Raw genomic sequence first — 18,720 nt, forward strand, 5'->3', positions numbered from 1 at the left:
CAAACCTATGTACTTCTTAACATACATTGATTGTTGTCTCATGTCTCGCTAAAATGTATAAAACCAAGCTGTGCCCTGACCACCTTGGGCACATGTTTTCATGACTTTCTGAGGCTTTGTCAGGAGTGTGTCCTCAACCTTGGCAAAATAAACTTTCTAAATTAACTGAGACCTGTTTCAGATTTTCAGAGTTCCCCTTTTGGTAACCACGAGGGATTCTGAGTGGAGATGCCCCTGACCTTTGGCAAATCTCCTGTCAGTGCTTGGGACCAGTGTGAGCTCACTTTATGACCCAAACCAATAGGACAATTTGCTGAGATCTGAGAGCACTCCCTCCAAAGAATCCTTCATCTCCAAAACTTTGGTCAAGATCTAAAGTTTATTTTGCTGTACAACTCCTCTTTTTTTTTTTTTTTGGAGTTTTACTTGCGTCCAACAAGACAAGTTTTCACACCTCCATGATGTTGGAAGGCAGGTAACTACTTTATAGAGTTTGAGCTCACTTCTTCTATTAGGCAAATTTGTTTTGTGTGTTTGTTTGTTTGTGTGTTTTTCCTGCTTCTAGGATAGTAGAGAGTAGTTTGCAGCCTGAGATCCATCACTAGGTAAGAAACTAGTTTTGGATTCTGTCTTGCAAATTCCTTTTAAAGAATAAAGTTAACATTTAACAACCAGCCGGTGTTAATTTCTGCTTACACGTCAGAGTGCTCAGAAATCATATAATTTGTGTGACCATTGTTAGTTTAGCAGCATTTTGTCCTCGCTGAAATATGGTAATAAGATTAAAAGAGTTTTGTTTAAAGGAGCACAATTGTGTAAAAGTCAGCTTAATTAAAAGGGTAACATCCAGATGTGTGTGCATGTGTGCGCATGTTTGTATTTGAAAGGCCTTCATGTTTTTTGTTTTTTTGTTTGTTTTACTCTCCTAAGACCTTGTCTTTTTGTTGTTGTTGAGCAACTGTGTTTATGTTTTTTTTGTCTTTTTTTTCTCAGTTGACTGAATTCTGTTTTCACTTGATTTTTCTTGACTAAAGTAGTTATTGCAACAGAGGCTACTCTTGGGTTTTTAAGGAAGACTGTAGTTTAATTTAATGTTTAGTTTGGCTCGAAGAAAATATTAGTGTCTCCCTCTAGCACCACCAGACTCTTTCCTTGTGTGCTTTATGTAGTAAATTTTGCTATTTGATTTTCACCTGAATTGTTTCCCTTAACGTTCAAATTTAAGGCTGTTTAGTTGACAGCTGCCTAGGGTTGTGAAACAAGTTACCAAGAATCTGAAAGTCTGAGAGAGAAAAAAAGGGGGAGGTCTTCAATCTATAAAATGTACCGTGACAGCCCAATGCGTTCACCTTGCCCGCTGCCTAGACAGAACCGATTTATCAAGGTAGAAGAAGTGCAGTGGAGAAGGAGTAATTCACGCAGAGCCGGCTGCATGGCAGACCAAAGTTTTTACTCAAATCGGTCTCCCCGAGCATTCGGGGATCAGAGTTTTTAAAGATATTTGGTGGGTAGGGGCTTGGGAAGTGGGGAGTGCTGATTAGTCAGGTTGGAGATAGAATCATAGGGGGTTGAAGTTAGGTTATCTTTCTGTCTTCTATTCATGGGTATGACGGCACAACTGGTTGGGCCAGATTACTGGCCTGGGCAGGGTCTGCAACACGTATCAAGCCCTGATCTTAGGTTTTACAGTAGTGATGTGATGTTACCTGCAGGAGCAGTTTGGGGAGGTTCAGACTTTCGAAGCCAGAGACTGCATGACCCCTAAACTGTACATTCTAATCTTGTAGCTAATATGTTAGTCCTGCAAAGGCAGACTGCTCCCCAGGCAAGAAGGGGTTCTTTTCAGGAAAGGGTTGTTATCAATTTGCTTTCAGAGTCAAACCGTGAACTAAATTCCTTCCCAAAGTTAGTTGAGCTTACACCAAGGAATGAACAAGGACAGCTTAAGGGTTAGAAGCAAGATAGAGTCGGTTAGGTCTGATTTCTTTCACTGTCATAATTTCCTTAGTTGCAGTTTTGCAAAAGTGGTTTCAGTACTTCCATAGATATGCCTGATAGATTTTTAGATGTATTTATGTATTGTGTACAGAATGTTGGACTACTAAAAATATATAAAAGCTCTAATCGGCTTAAAGAAAAATAAAACCACTTAAGTTAAATACTAAGAAAGACTTGTGAAATGCTTTTTCAACTTTATGTAACTTAAGCAAAATCTTTAATAAATAAGCTATCTTTAAAATTATTGGTAAAAAAATATTAGAAATGTCTTAAAAATTGGCAGCATACATTTTTGTTTACATTTAGTATCAACCAATTTCATACATATTCCTGCCAAATACTATAAGGTGTCAAAATTTGGCATTGGGGTTTCAAAAGTATAAACCCAGCCCAAAACGGAATGATCTTTACTTGTGTAATTTTTAATAAGTAAGACATTGATATGGGGTTTAATAAAAACAGCTGCATGTTGAATTTAGTAAGATTACTAGCACTTCTAATCCTGCGGCATTTGGCAGTCTAGTCCACAGACAATAAGGTAAGGACTGTTACTGCCTTTGTTTCAAATCTAAACTATAAACCAGGTTCCTCTCAGTGTTAGTTCAGCCTATGCCCAGGAATGAACAAGGACAGCTTGGAGGTTATGAGCAAGATGGAGCCAGTTAGGTCAAATCTTTTTTTCACTGTCTCAGTTATAATTTTGCAATGGCGGCTTCATAACTTTAAATCATGACTATCACAGATTTCATAAATAATCTAGATAAACAATTAAAATAATTAGGTAATTGTAATGGGATAAACACTTGTAGACAAACTGGTCATAATTTAGAATATAAAGTTAAGTTAAATAATAGATATTTCATTATTTGGGTATTTTCCAATACACATATATTGTAGGAAAACATTCTTGCCAAAAAAGTGTCTTTTTTTCTAAAAAAAAAAAAAAAAAGAACATGTTTTGTCTAATTCAAAGCTTATTTAAAGTTATATATAAAACAAAGTAAAAGGAACCAGGAAATAAAAAAATGTAAAGAAAGTTGTAAAGAGGTAGTTTTTGAGGTAAAAAAGAGTTTAAAGAGAAATACTATTATATAAGAAAGAATCCTGTGTAGTAAGTTTAGTCCTAAAATAAAATAACTGGTTGTTTAAAAAGAAAGGATGTTCAGAACAAATCAGAAAGTCTGACCATGTCATGAACAATGTAAGTTACAATAAGGATTTATATATTTAAAAAATCCAAAAACTTTTATATAATAAAGTTGTCACATTAAGTTTTGGTTTACTTAGGAAAAAAACTGAGATTTTTTAAAATTGAAGTTATTACATCCATGTATCTTCCTGTATATGCTTTCAAAATCCTTGCAACATTGAGTTACAGGGCTTTTTAACTCCTATGTCTAAAAACGAAAACCAATTCCTGCTAAATCTTAAATACCCACAGCAATTAAAGCCTCATCTTCAGGACCAGTAGAAGATGCCAATTTAAATAAACTGCTGCATTCCTGAGACACAGGGCAGGAAATGAAAGCTATTGAACTCCTCAAGACCAAGAGACTATTGTGAAAGAGGTGGGAGCATAAGATTGTAAGGGCCGATTTTGAAAGATAAAGTTGGTTCAGTTTCTCTATACATTAATTATTAATGTCAAAATCACAATGATGCAAAACCAGTATATGGACCCCTGTGTCAGATTAACAAGGTTTTCTTGAAGCATTTACCAACTCCTTAGTACAGGTTATAAAAGGCTTATGGAAGTTATATTTTATAATCAAGATTACATTTTATAGATTTAGAAAATTTTAAAAAACAAATGTAATTGGCTTCATGCTGTTTTTATTAGGGCTTCTTGTTTAAAAAATTAAGTCTCCTGTCTCAAAGGATGAAGGTTTTCACTTTTAAAAAATCCTTGAATTATCACTTTGGTTAAATAAATGACTTTACAATGACCTGTAATCCTATTTTTTAATATCAAGTGTTTTAAACATTTTATATTTGACAAACTTTCCAAAATCAAATTATATATTATGTCTTTTTCCATCCTAAATAGAACATTAGTTTCTCTAAAGTCTAAAAATGACATAATTTGGCTTATCTGGTATAAAATTTATACAGGAAAGTACTGTCAGATAAGAAATGGTGTTTGGCTTTCTTTCATATCCATTTGTATAAATATGTTATTGGTATGTGTTCCAAAATGATGGGAAACTCCTGTAATTCTGATACAACTTAGTGTACATTATTCGTAATAATCATAATTGCTATGTTAAAATTATCGTGTGCCACGGAGGTAACACATTCACTTGTCAATTGTATCTTTTAACTATGGCTGCCTTTACTTTTTTTTCATCCACAGACGGTTATCTTGTTTTGTCTTGTTTTGTCTTGTTTTAAACCCTCTTTATAAGGTGGGTTTATAATCAGCTGTAGGACTCTTAACAGGTGCACTTAAATTCAGGTTTTCTGATAATTTTGGAAATTGTTACATTGGAATAAAGCAAAAAATTTCGGAACTCTCTCATGGAGAGCTGAAATGTTCCTGACTATGAAACGGAACAGGAGTTAATAGAAATAACTGAACCAACAGAAAATTGAAGTAATCTTTTTGACTTCTTGCTTAAAACATTGCTGATACTTTGTTTAGTTTTTCAGAGTTAAGAAAACTTTGTTAGTTGCAGATTTTAACAATAAAGTATATTCCTGTGAACAAAATTTGGAGCATATTTGTTTTTCTCTACCTAATTTCTCCAGAATTTGGAAACTGGGGGTATTCTTAATTTATGGCAATATAGTTATTTGCATAAGTGCAATAAGAATCTGTTTTATTTAGCAATAGGACACAGTTGGAGAAGTTGGTTATTTTATCAAGGGTTTGACTGAAATGGTGTGCTTTCCTTTAAGGAATCAAACTTGACTTATAGAAGCCAATAAAGCCCGTGGAAAAACTGGCCTCATATTTTGTGTACACAGTCCCTGTACAGGGTTTTGACCTGTGGTAAATAAAGAATGTCACTTTCTGACAGGTGCAGAAGCCCCAGGTTTATCTTGGAACCTCAAGAGGAGAGGAAATTCACTGAAATCATAGGTATTTGATGGCACAAATCCATGGCTGGGCCTGGCTTAAGAAAGTCTTATCTAAGATTCCTCCTATGGAACAAAGTTCCATCAAAGCCAATTTAAAAGCCTGTGTAAAAAATAATTATGGTTGTTGCACTGTATGCAAATAATTAGACCAAGAATAATAAAGCAAATCAGTTCTAACATGATTTATCTTTAGTAAAAATGGAAAACTGGAGAGAGAAAAAATTATGTTTCAAAACCACAGTAGACCTGTTTTTAGATTCTAGTCTTGCCTAATATTTTTTTCAATTTTTATTATTTTCTGCAGTTGGGACCAAATTCTAATTTTTCTTGGCTACAAGTCTTTAATGTTTTCAATTTTTTTTTCAATTATTCCTAACTTGGAGTCACTGAAAACTAAGCTGTGCTTTCTTAAAACCCTGTGAACTGAAGCCAGACAAATTAAACTTCAGAAGAAAATAACAGCAACCTGTTGACATACCTAAGCCACTTTCATACCTGCCTACTGAGGCATGGACTGCAGAGTAATGTGGCTTGCATTGATTTTTCCAGGATTGTTCTTTTGTTTGTTGTTGTTTTTTCTCACTTCCTCCCCCCTATTTTAACTTCAAAGGATGTGAGACATCACAACCTGCTAAAAATGAGCTTTTGGGACCTACCTCTCTAGGAATAAACCCTCCTAGCCATGAGAGATCAGATGAAACCCGAGACCAGAGACTCATTTTCTTGTAAAATGCTTTTTCCAAAAGATTTTTTAAAAAGAAAAGGGGGGAAATGTGAAAGGAAAATATCTTGGGCCCCTAAAATCACTAAGGAAAACTCAGGCTGGAATCTGCTTAGGGCCAACCTGCCTCCCATTCTATTCAAAGTCACCCCTCTGCTCCCTGAGATAGATGCATACCTGATTGCCTCCTTTGGAGACTAATCAGAAACTCAAAAGAATGTAACCATTTGTGTATCAGTGATCTGTGACCTGGAAGCTCCCTCCCTCCTTCCAGTCTTCTGAGTTAGCTTCAACTTGTCACACCTTTCTAGACCAAAGCAATATACTTCTTAGATATATTGATTGATGTCTCATGTTTCTCTGAAATGTATAAAACCAAGCTGTGCCCTGACCACCTTGGGCACATGTCATCATGACCCTGAGGCTGTGTCACAAGTGTGTTCTCAACTTTGGCAAAATAAACTTTCTAAATTAACTGAGACCTTCATTTGAGTTTGCTGCTGGACACCCTCATTGTGTTCGTTGGCCTGTGTTTCTCTGTTAATGCCTATCACGAATCGCTTGGGTAACTAAAGCTTTGGGAAGTAGTTGAAAGTGGAAGAGTGTGATGGCACTCCACTGACTTTGTATGTGCAGAAACTGCTTTGGGAATGCAGGGCATTTCATTGTCCCACGGGATTTTTAGTAGTGTGTTGTGATCCTATTTGGAAAACAAAAATAGGACATGGTCTATGTTTTTATTTAAAGGGTGCAATGGACCTTTTTACATGAATCAATGAAACTACAGGACCTAGCATCTGTTTCATGCTACAGTGAGGATTTCTTGATGGAGAGAGCATTCCAAATCCTTTCCAGCAATATTGAATATTATGCTATGATATTGTTAAGCCTAGTCACCCTGCTGTGCTGTAGAACACCAGAGTACCTGTGCCTCATCTGAGCATCCCTTTGTAGCCATTTCCAATCCTCCTCAGAGCCTCTGGTACCCACTGTTGACATTGCTACTGTATGAGATTCACTTTGTTAGATTCCACGTGCATGAGATTGCACAGTATTTGTGTTTGTCTTCCTCTGCCTGGCTCATGTTTTTTAACTTAATGCCCTCCAGGTTTCTCCATCTTGCTGGTAGTGAACTGATGTCCGGAAGTTTGATGGCCGAAGAGTATACCGTTGTGCATATATCCTTCAATTCCTGATTTTATCATCTGTAGAAAGACAAGTAGGTTGATTCCCCACCTTGGTTATTGTTCAGAGTACTTCATGAAACATGGGAAGGGAGATACCTCCTTAAGGTAGGTTTCCTTGGCTTTGCAGGTATACCCAGTGTTGGGATGGCTAGAGGAACTGGTGGTTGTGTTGTTAATTGTTTCAGAAAACTCCAGCTGTTTCCCAGTGGGTATACAAATTTGCATTCAAACCAGTAGTATGTAATAGTTCCTCTGTCTGCAAATCTACACTGCCCTTATCTTCCAAAGTTTTATTGCTGTTTCTGGTCATACTCGTTCTCTGGGGAGAAACTCTTCTGATGTGGAGAAACTTCTGTTACCTGAGAGGCTGTTTCAGGTTTTTTCAGAAATGCCTATGCCAGTCTTTTGGGCATTTTTAGTATTGGTTTTTGTCCACTTAGGTGTGACAAGCATTGTATATTGGTTTTTGTCCACTTAGGACCATTAGTTTCTTGAATATGTTAGATAAGAAGCCCTTCCAGATCCACAGTTTTCCATAATTTTCTCCCAGTCTGTAGGATGTTTTCTGTTGGGTTCACTGTTTTCTCTCCAGTGTTGAAGCTGTGTGAAGCTCTGAAGTTGTCCTTAGTTTCACATGGTCACATTAGCTTTTCTTAGTGGTGATTTCTGTGTCCCTTTGAGGAGAAAAGCAAGATGGTGAAGCCATTATGTATGGTCTATGTGTATTTGGTTCCTATGTCTTCGTTTTCTGCTTGTAGCTGAGGTTCACAGGTTCAAGTTTCCCCACAGTAGACACACACCCTATGCGTTTTCCTTGGAGATTTTGGTTTCAGGATTGAACTTAGGTGTTCAGTAGATTTTGTGTCACTTTTTGTGTCTTGGGTAAAGGAAGGGTTCGGTCCTTTACACGTGACCCCCACCCCCCCCACAGTTTCCTCAACCATTGTGCCTTTGGTGTGCTTTTGGGGTAAAAGCAAGAATCCCATGGGTTCAGTGTTTATAACTGTGGGTTGATTATTTGGCTCCTTCGTTGTGTCCATTCTGTTATCTTTCTGTGTTCATGCCACTAAGAGGATGGATTGGGTCACTGTAGGCTTTTTGTTTTGTTTTGTGTGTTTTCTTCCTTTTTTCTATTTTTATTTCCAAAGCTGGGTTTTCTAAAATGATAGCTACTTTTATTGTGATCAAGGGGTACGCCTGCAGGTTCACTTCACTACATGGCTATACAGTAGAATTTTGATGCTTGAGGTCCTAACGTACCTGTCGTCCAGGCAGTGAACACAGCACCAGTTGGGTCTTTCTTCCTCCAAGGCTCCCTGTCTCCCTTCTTTTTCTGTCTGGTAGTACCCAACGTCTGTTGATTTCATATTGATGTTGATGTGCATTGGGTGTTGAGCTTCCACTTATAAATGAGAACCTGCAGTGTTTGGTCTTCTGTTCTTGCCTCAGTTGCTTAGCAGAGTGGCCTCCAGTTCCACCCATGTTCCTACTGAGGGCATGATTTTGTTTCTGTGTTTGATTTTCCTTAGTGGTTTTTTCAGCATTCTGTGATGTATAGGTACCACATTTTAAAAAATCCAATTTTCTGTTGGTGGGCATCTAGGTCAGTTCCACATCTTTATTCCTGTCAGTAACACTCCCGTGGACATGTGAGTGTCTGTGTCCTTTTGATAGATGCATGTGTTTTTCCCTGGGGTAGACGCATGGGGTGGGATTGCTGCGTCAAAGCGTAGCTCTGCTTTCTGTCCTTTTTTTTTTCCAGAAATCTTCAGACTGATTTCCACAGTTTGAGATCTAGTTTGCATTACCTCCAAGAGAATAGCCATGTTTGCTTTTCTCTGCTGCCACACCAGCATGTTATGTTTTGACTTAGGACAAATGGCCACTCTGACCAGCGTGTGATGGCACCGGTACCTCATCTCTGATGATTGGTGATGTTGAGCATTCCCCATGCCTGTTGGAATGGCAATCCCTTGGAAATGTCTTCTCAATAGTTACTACCCATAGGTATGTTGCTCAGGCCACTGTGTGGCCCCAGCACTTGGTTTGCATAGGGACTTGGGGATTGTTTGTCATCATTAGCCGGGACAAATGTTACACTGCTGTTCCTACAGTGAGTAGTGGGAGTGGCGTATGGGGGCATATGCTTATGTCCACAGTTCCATCAGAAATCCCACTGCCTTAAGACAGTCTTACGGAAACCGAGTCCCAGCCTTGCAGCACCGGGTAGCCCTGTGGCATTTTGACATTGAGTGTGTCTGCATTGTTGAAGTCACTCAGCATGTTGCCATGCGTTTATCCACTTAGGTCAACGTTAAGGGAAGTTCATCGCCTCTGCTTCTTCAGTAACTGATGTCTGGTGCATCAACTGAATGCATTTCAGGCTTTTCAGCAGTTCCCCCAGATCTATGGGTAAAAAAAGGTTTTCACCATGCCCACCTCCCCAGTGAGTGACGAATGTCTCATTGTTAATGCATCTGATGCACAGAGTTTAGTGGTCTGAGGGAGGTCAGTCGCCAAGTGGAGATTGAAATCACATTTGTATTTACATTATTACTTTTCTACAGTTTGGTTTGTTGCAGGCTTTCACACTACTAATCTGGGCTGAATCCTTGAATTACTTTGTCTACCAAGGGTTTCAAAGAACTTGATAAACTTGTTCTAATTAGCCAACATATTCATCCATGTTGTCCGTATACCAGGTGTAAAAATAAAACGTTTCTTAATGCACACAGGACATGGAAGGCAATCTACACATTTTCAGGTGTAGACTTTGCTTGTGACTCTTTTGTGAGGAATAGTCATTGTTACTTTAGGAAAACCCTGAGTTTATCCAACTCTTGTTAGAATTGGATAAGTGTAAAAACCTACAATAGAATGCAAGTGTGAGAGCCAATTCCTCTGGTAAAATAAACTCATATTATTATTTATATATGTCTGGTCATTGTATTAATAAAATCAGTTTGTTTTGGCTGAAACACATGGTTGGCCTTTACAATAGATGTGAAAATGGGCTTATAGATCATTGCTCTTTATTGTGAATATTAGGTTGTATTTATTGCCAAACTCTTTCAACAGCTTCTAAGCAGTGAATTTTCAGTGCATTGTTGTTGTTCTCCAAGTACAAGCAGCCACTTCAGTTTTACCACATTCATCTTCCACACACTGATGAACCATATGGAGGCAGCAGGAATTGAAGTAGAACCAGAGGGAGTAGTTAGGACAGACATTCTGATTCATTCATTCTGATTCTCACTATTGTCAGTGAGTAAAGGTTCATTGAATTTTTCTTCTGATGAATAAAATGGTCAGTTTTCTCAGTGCAATGGCTTACTTTTGGAAGAGCAGCTCTAAAGACTTTACTACTGATTAGTAAAGTCTAAACTGCTTTCTGTATTTTTTTTTAAATTCAACTTTTATTTTAGACTGAATAAAAATGTGCAGGTTTATCGTGTGATACTGAGTTTTGGGGTATGATTGAAGCCATCACTAAGGTAATGAGCATCTCACCTTCTCCTTCTGTTCAGTCTGTTACAGAGAACAGACCCTCCCAGTCTTCAGTGCACTCTAAATACTGGCTAATTCTGGCCAATGGAAGGCATCTGTGGAAGAAAAAAGCCTCAGATCATGTGCTGTCTGTCTTTATTCAGTGTGACATATTAGGTAATGGTCACAGACACTCACCATGGCCCCAGTTTTTAATAACATGACCCTGCTTTTGTGTTCCAGTAACTTCTGTTGTTTTCCCAATCCTAAGTATGATAGAAACTTCCTGCTGCTGCTAATCTCTGGGTTCCATTTAAAATCCTTCCATCACATGAATACTATGCTGTGTTCTAAATTTTTCCATAATTAAATACTTACAATTATTTTTGCCTACTTCTTTTGCCCCTTAGTGATATGTTTTAAAAACACTTATAATGTGTCACAATATATTTAGCAAATGTAGGGAATGACATTTTTACTTTCGTCAGCATTTACACTAGCATTTATGGAGCGATGCTATATAAAGTATTTTTAGTAATTTAAACGTTATATAACAGATATCCGTTGATTCCTTTGTTTCTACGTAAATAAGTATACTTGAGATATTCAGTAAACAGTATTGAATACATGTTTCATTTGTATAATATAAAATTATGATTATTCTTTTTAAACAGTACATCATATTTGCTTGTTGGCTTTATGATAACTTAGAAATAATATTCTGGATTAACTGTGTGACTCATGAGAAGATTTGTGCAACTATGTTTCCAAATTTACTTGATTTTCAAGACTTACACTAGAACTGTGAGAACAGGGTAATAAATAAGCATATGTATTAATATCACCTTTGGTCAACTCTTGGGTAGCCCCAACGGTAGTGTAGGAATTAACGTAATTTTTCCTACTAAAAGTATTGGATTTGTTTTGAGAGACCACAGTTGAAAATCATTGACATACAAAGTTTAAAAATTGTTAGGTTAAAAAATTTTAAATGCATTTGAAGTGGTTTTATAGAAAAATAATTATCTAACTTGGTTTATATTGACAGGTTGTTTTCTTGGATAAGAACTAGACGAAGAGAAAGGGAGATTAGTGATAAATGTCCAGGTTTTCAAGTTGAAAAGTAACAATCAGTGTATTACAACAGATGGATGTGATGTCAAATTACAAATGCTGAAAACGTTATATGTAATCATGTAGCCAGAGTAATCATACAAGGCAAAGAACGGAAAGGCATCCAAATAGGAAAGAGGCTGGAATGCAGTGGCACCATCTCAGCTCACTGCAACCTCCGCCTCCGGGTTCAAGTGCTGCTCCTGCCTCAGTCTCCCAAGTAGCTGGGACTACAGGTGCGTGCCACCACGCCCGGCTAATTTTTGTATTTTTTTAGTAGAGACAGGGTTTCACCATATTGGCCAGGCTAGTCTCGAACTCCTGATCTCGTGATCCACACACTTCGGCCTCCCAAAGTGCCGGGATTACAGGCATGAGCCACCGTGCCCAGCCAATATAGAGATAATCTTAAAGACTCCATAAAAAAGAAAAAAAGTGTTAAAGCTGATAAACGCATTGAAAGTTGAGAGTTACAAAATTAACATACAAATAGTATTCTTGTTTCTATACACCAATGACAAACTGTTAACTGAAAAACAAATGAATAAAGTAATTCATTTGATAATAGCATCATAACATATATAAGTAAATAAAAGACTAAGGAGTAATTTTAATGAAGGATGTGAAATATTTGTATACTGAAAATTTATAGCATTGTTGAAAGAAATTGAAAGTGACATAAGTAGAAAAACATCCCATATTTATGGATTTGAAAAATTAATATCGTCAAAATTTCAATGCTACCGAAAGCAATCTACAGATTAATGCAATCACTGTCAAAATCCCATGCCATTCTTCACAGAAATAGAAAAATTAGTCCTAAAATCTGAGTGGAACCACAAAAGACTCTGAAAAACCAAAGCAATCTTGAGCAAAAAGAACAAAGCCAGAGGCATCAGGCTACTTGATTTTAAACAATATTAAAAAGTTATAGTACTTAAAACAGCATAGCACTAGCATAAAAACAGACACCTAGACCAGTGTGAAGGAATGTAGAACCTGTAAATAAATCCATGTGTCTGTGGTCCGTTGATTTTTGATAAAAGGACAAAGAATACACAATGTGGAAAGAAAATTCTCTTCAATAAATAATGTAGAGAAAAACTGACTATTCACATACAGAAGAATAAAATTGGATTGTTATTTCACTCTTTATACCAACATCAAGTAGCAATGCATGAAAGACTTAAATATAAACCTGAAACCATAAAACCGCTACAAGCAAAGACAGGAGAAAACCATATGACAGTGGCCTCAGCTATGATTTTCTACAGATGACCCCAAAAAGTACAGGCAACAAAAGCAAAAATACACGAACGAGATGCCATAAAACTAAGAAGCTTCTCTGCACAGCAAAAGAAACAGTAATAGATTGAAGAGACAACCCACAAATGGGAAGAGAATGTTTTTAAACCATATCTCAGGTAAGGGGTTCATACCAATAATATGTAAGGAACTCAACCCAGAAATGAGAAAACAAGCTTACTAAAAAATAAGTAAAGGAGTTGAATAGACATTTTCTAAAAACAGACATACAAAAGGCCAGATTTTTATCAAAAATGTTGATAAAAAACATCAACATTCCTAATTATCAGAGAAATAGATGTCAAAACCATGAAGATATTATCTCACAGATGTTACTGAGGTTATTATAAAAAAGATGTGGCGGGGCACGGTGGCTCACACCTGAAATCTCAGCACTTTGGGAGTCCAAGGCAGGTGGATTGCCTGAGGTCAGGAGTTTTAGACCAGCCTGGCCAACATGGTGAATCCCCGTCTCTACTAAAAATACAAAAAATTAGTTGGGCGTGGTGGCATGCACCTGTAATTCCAGCTACTTGGGAGGGTGAGGCAGAAGAATTGCTTGAACCTGGGAGGTAGAGGTTGCAGTGAGCCAAGATTGCGCCACTGCACTCCAGCCTGGGTGACAGAGCAAGACTTCATCTCAGTAAATAAATAAATAAATAATTAAAAAATGATGGAAGATAACTATTGATTAGAATGTGGAGAAAACGGTTGTACACTGTTGGTCGGAATTGAAATTATTACCACCATCTTGGAAAATAGTATGAAGCTTTCTCAAGAAATTATAAATATATTTACATTATGATTCATCAATGCCTCTTCTGGATATACGTCTGAAGAACTTAAAATCAGTATGTCAAAGAGACATCTGCAATTTCATGTTCATTGCAGAGTTATTCATAATAGCTGTGATTTAGAAACAACCTAAGTGTTTATCAACTGAAGAATGGATTAAAAATATGTGAAAATTTGAAACCCTTATACACTGCTGATGAGAGTTTAAAACAGTCTGGCAGTTCTTCAAGAGGATAAGTATAGAATTACCATATGACTCAGTAAATTAACTCCTATGTATACACCAAAAAGAAATGAAAACAAATGTCTACTCAAAAGGTAGCATACAAGTACTTACAGCAACAAAAAGTGGGAAGCAACAGAAATGTCCATGAATTGCAGAGTGGATTAATAAAATGTGGTCTGTCCATGAAATACAATAGTATTTGGCAATAAAAAAGAAAAAGGTATTAATATACATGCTTCAAAAAGGATGAACGTTAAAAACATAAGTGAAAGCAGTGGGTCACACGTAACTATGTATTATTATGATTCCATTTACATGAAATGTCCGGAACAGGCAAATCCTTCCAGAGTAGGCAAATCCTTAGTTAGGAAGTGGGTGGATGGTTGCCTAGGGCTGGGAGGGGTTTCAAGGAAGTGGAGAAAATGGGAAAAGATTGCTAATGAGTGCAAGGTTTCTTTTAAGGAGCATAAAAATGTTCTAAAATTATATTGTGATTGTTTATCCACCCAGTTAATACACTAACAAATTGAAATGTACACTTTAAATGAGTGAATTAAATAACGTATAAATTACATCTCAATGAACTTGTGAAGAAAGTTAAAAAATATGTGATGCATACACAGATACACAAAAACTTATTGTATTTTTTTATTTCCATAGGTTTTTGGGGAACAGGTGGTGTTTGATTATATGAGTAACTCCTTTAGAGGTGATTAGTGAGATTGTGGTGCACCCAACACCTGAGCGGAATACGTTGTATCCAATTTGTAGTCTTTTATTCCTCACCTGCCTCCCACCGTTTCCCCCAAGTCCCCAAAGTCCACTGTAGTATTCTAATGCCTTTGCATCCTCATAGCTTCGCTCCCACTTGCGAGTGAGAGCAAACTGTGTTTGGTTTTCCATTCTTAAGTTACTTGACTTAGAATAGTAATCTCCGATCTCGAGAATCCAGGTTGCTGTGAATGCCATTATTTTTTTCCTTTTTATGGCTGTGTGTGTGTGTATATATTATATCGATAATATATATATAATAATTTCTTAATCTACTCATTGATTGATGGGCATCTGGGCTGGTTACATATTTCTGCAGTTGTGAATTGTGCTGCTATAAACATGCGTGTACAAGTATCTTTTTCACATAATGACTTCTTTTCCTCTGGTAGATAACCCAGTAATGGAATTGCTGGATTAAATGGTAGTTCTACTTTTAGTTCTTTAAGAAATTTCCACACAGTTTACTGTAGTGGTTGTACTAGTTTACATTCCCACCAGCGGTGTAAAAGTGTTCTTTTTTCACCATATCCCCACCCACATTTATTATTTTTTGATGTTTTCATTATGGCCATTCTTGCCAGGAGTAAGGTGGCATGGCATTGTGGTTTTGATGCATTTCCCTGATCATTAGTGATGATGAGCATTTTTTCATGTTTGTTGCCCATTTTTATATTTTCTTTTGAGAATGGTATATTCAAGTCCTTAGCCCATTATTGGAAGGGATTGTTTTTTTTCCTGCTGAGTTCTTTGTGGATTCTGGATATTAGTCCTTTCTTAGATGTATAGATTGTGAAGATTTTCTCCCATTCTGTGGGTTGTCTGTTTACTCTGCCAATTGTTTCTTTTGCTGTGCAGAAACTTTGTGGATTAATTAAGTCTCACCTGTTTATCTTCATTTTGTTGTCGTGCTTGCTTTTGGGTTCTTGGTCATGAAGTCTTTGCCCAAGCCAATGTGTAGAAGGGTTTTTCCAATGTTATCTTATAGAATTTTTATGGTTTCAGGTCTCAGATTTAAGTTGACTTTTGTATAAGGTAAGAGATGGGGATCCAGTTTCATTTTTTGGCATGTGGTTTGCCAGTTTTCCAAGCACCATATGTTGAATAAGGTGTCCTTTCCCCACTTTGTTTTTGTTTGCTTTGTCAAAGACCAGTTGGCTGTAAGTATTTGGGTTTATTTCTGGGTTCTCTATTCTGTTTCATTGGTCTATGTCCTTATTTTTATACCAGTATTATACTGTTTTGCTAACTATGGCCTTGTAGTATAGATTGAAGCCAGGTAATGTAATGCCTCCAGATCTGTTCTTTCTGCTTAGGCTTGCTTTGGCTATGCAGGCTCTTTTTTGGTTCCATATGAATTTTCGAATTATCTTTTCTAGTTCTGTGAAGAATGATGGTGATATTTTGATGGAAATTGCTTTCAAATTGTAAACTGCTTTTGGCGTTATGGTCATTTTTACAATATTGATTTTACCCATCTATGAGCATGAGAGGTGTTTCCATTTGTTTGTGTCATCTGTGATTTCTTTCAGCAGTGTTTTGTAGTTTTCTTTGTAGAGGTCTTTTATACTTCCTTGTTAGGTATATTCCTAAGTGTTTTATTTTATTTTTTTGCAGGTATTGTAAAAGGGATTGAATTCTTGATCTGATTCTCAGCTTGCACATCATTGGTGTATAGCAGATCTATTGATTTGGGTACATTAATTTTGTATCCTGAATTTTTGCTGAAATTATTTATCAGTTTAGGAGCTTTTTGGAGGAGTCTCTAGGTATACAATCATGTCATCAGCAAACAGTGACAATTTGACTTCCTATTTACCGATCTGGATGCCCTTTATTTCTTTCTCTCATTTGATTGCTCTGGCTGGGCCTGTCAGTGCTATGTTGAATAGAAGTGGTGAGAGTGGGCATCCTTGTATTTATTGTTCCAGTTCTCAGAGGAAATGCTTCTAACCTTTCCCCATTTAGTATTATGTTGGCTGTGGGTTTGTCACAGATGGTTTTTATTACCTGAAGCTATGTCCCTTCTGTGCATTTTTTGCTGAGGGTTTTAATTATAAATGGATGCTGGATTTTGTCAAATGCCTTTTCTGTGTTTATTGAGATGATTATGTGACTTTGCTTTTAATTCTGTTTATGTGATTATCACACTTATTGACTTGCCTGTGTTAAACCGGAAGAGCCAAGGTGTTCTCAGGAGCCACCGTGTGCCACGGCAGCTTCGGGATAACTTGAGGCTGCATCCTGGGGAAGAAACACCTCCTGTCCGTGGCGCTGACGGCTGAGGACAGAGCTTTGGTGTGGCTTCTCTGCGGCTGGCTTCTTCGGGGAGTTCTTCCATCATGGTGAGTACAGAAGCTTTCGTTTTCTGGAATGTTCTATGTATTCCTGATGGGTCTTCCTTTTTTCTTTCTTTCCATCTTAGTATGAATTTTATAGTAGTACTCAGTCCCTGAGGGCTTTTGAGGTTGGAAAGAGTAGGAGGCTTTAGGGCTGTTTCTGAGGGAGACTCCCCATGTAGATGGAGAGAGAGGAAAGCTCTGGCTGTGGGAGGAAGAGGAAGCCCGGCCTAGGTGGGGTTTTGGGACCAGGCCCCAGTTTGGCTGCCTTGCATCCAAGCCTCAGGTGGAAGGAAAGGATCCCAGCCACCTCCAGGGTTTGCTGATTTTTTAATTGGTTTTATTTTTTTGGAGATAGGGTCTGGCCCTGTTGTGCATCCTGGAGTGCAGTGGCAGATCTCAGCTCACTGCAGCCTCCACTTTCTGGGCTCAAGGGATTCTCCAGCCTCAGTCTCCCCATTAGCTGGGCTTGTGCCACCATGCCCAGCTATTTTTTTTTTTTCATATTTTTGCTGGCCACGGGGTTTCGCCATGTTACCCAGGCTTATCTTGAACTTCTGAACTCAAAGCAATCCTTCCACTTCGGCTTCCCTAAGTGCTGGGATTACAGGTGTGAACTACTGTGCCTGGTCTGCTGAATTTTGTTTTTCTTGTATTTTTGGTAGAGGCAGTGTTTCGCCATGTTGCCCAGGCTGGTCTCAAACTTCTGAGCTCAAAGCAGTCCTCTCGCCTCAGCTTCCCAAAGTGCCGGGATTACAGGCATGAACTACTGCAGGTGGTCTACTGAACTTTTACATTTGTTTCCCAGCCGTCGGGACATAGGGGTCACTTTTCTCAACACCCCCCACCCCCCACAGCGTCTGCCTAACTCTGTCCATCTAGTCACGGCCACCTGACTGTGGAGGAAGCGCCCTTCCATGTGGTTTAATGTCTTCTTTGCAGAAATGCCTATTCAGGTTCCCTGCTCAGTTTTGGATGGATCATTTGTTTGTTGTTGCTACTTAGTACTATTAATGTGTTGCATATTTTCCATAACAACCCCCATTAGCCGATATGTGATTTGTTCTCCCAGCCTTCCTCTTTGGGCTCATTGTTTCCTTTTCCTTGCAAAAAGTTTTCACTTTGATGTAGCCATGCATGTTTTTTTATGGCCAGGCGTGATGGTTCATGCCTGTAATCCAAGCACTTTGGGAGGCCAAGGTGGGCAGATCACTTGAGCCAAACAATTTGAGACCAGCCTAGGCAACGTGGCAAAACTTCATTTCTACAAAAAAATACAAAAAAATTAGCCAGGCGTGGTGGTGTGTGCCTGTAGTTCCAGCTATTCAGGAGGCAGAGGTGGGAGGATCACTTGTGCCGGAGAGGTCAAGGCTGCAGTGAGCCATGATCATGCCACTGCACTCCAGCCTGAGTGACAGAGTCCCTGTCTCAAAAAAATTTTTTTGATCTTTTTAGTAACATTCATTTCAATAAGAGTGAAATGACATCTGAGTGTGGTTTTGAAGTACTTTTTTTTGATGAACAGTGATGTTGAGGACCTTTTCTCTTACCTGTTAGTTTTATGTCATCTTTGCAGATAACTCTATTCAAGTTTTTTGCTCAATATGAGTTCAGATATGTATTTTTATGCTACTTAGTATTGCTTTTTTCTGTGTACATGTTTGGTAACAACAATTTATCACTTCTATGATTCCCTCA

The 18,720-nt window shown here is 37.8% G+C and overlaps 1 pseudogene; it reads right to left on the minus strand.

Moving 5' to 3' along the window:
* Positions 1 to 17,027, minus strand: part of LOC124905152 (mediator complex subunit 15 pseudogene 7) — a 42,872-nt pseudogene extending 25,845 nt beyond the window's left edge.
* Positions 17,028 to 18,720: the final 1,693 nt, after the last annotated feature.

Source organism: Homo sapiens, chromosome 22 (assembly GCF_000001405.40).
Source record: "Homo sapiens chromosome 22, GRCh38.p14 Primary Assembly".
Classification (NCBI taxonomy): domain Eukaryota; kingdom Metazoa; phylum Chordata; class Mammalia; order Primates; family Hominidae; genus Homo; species Homo sapiens.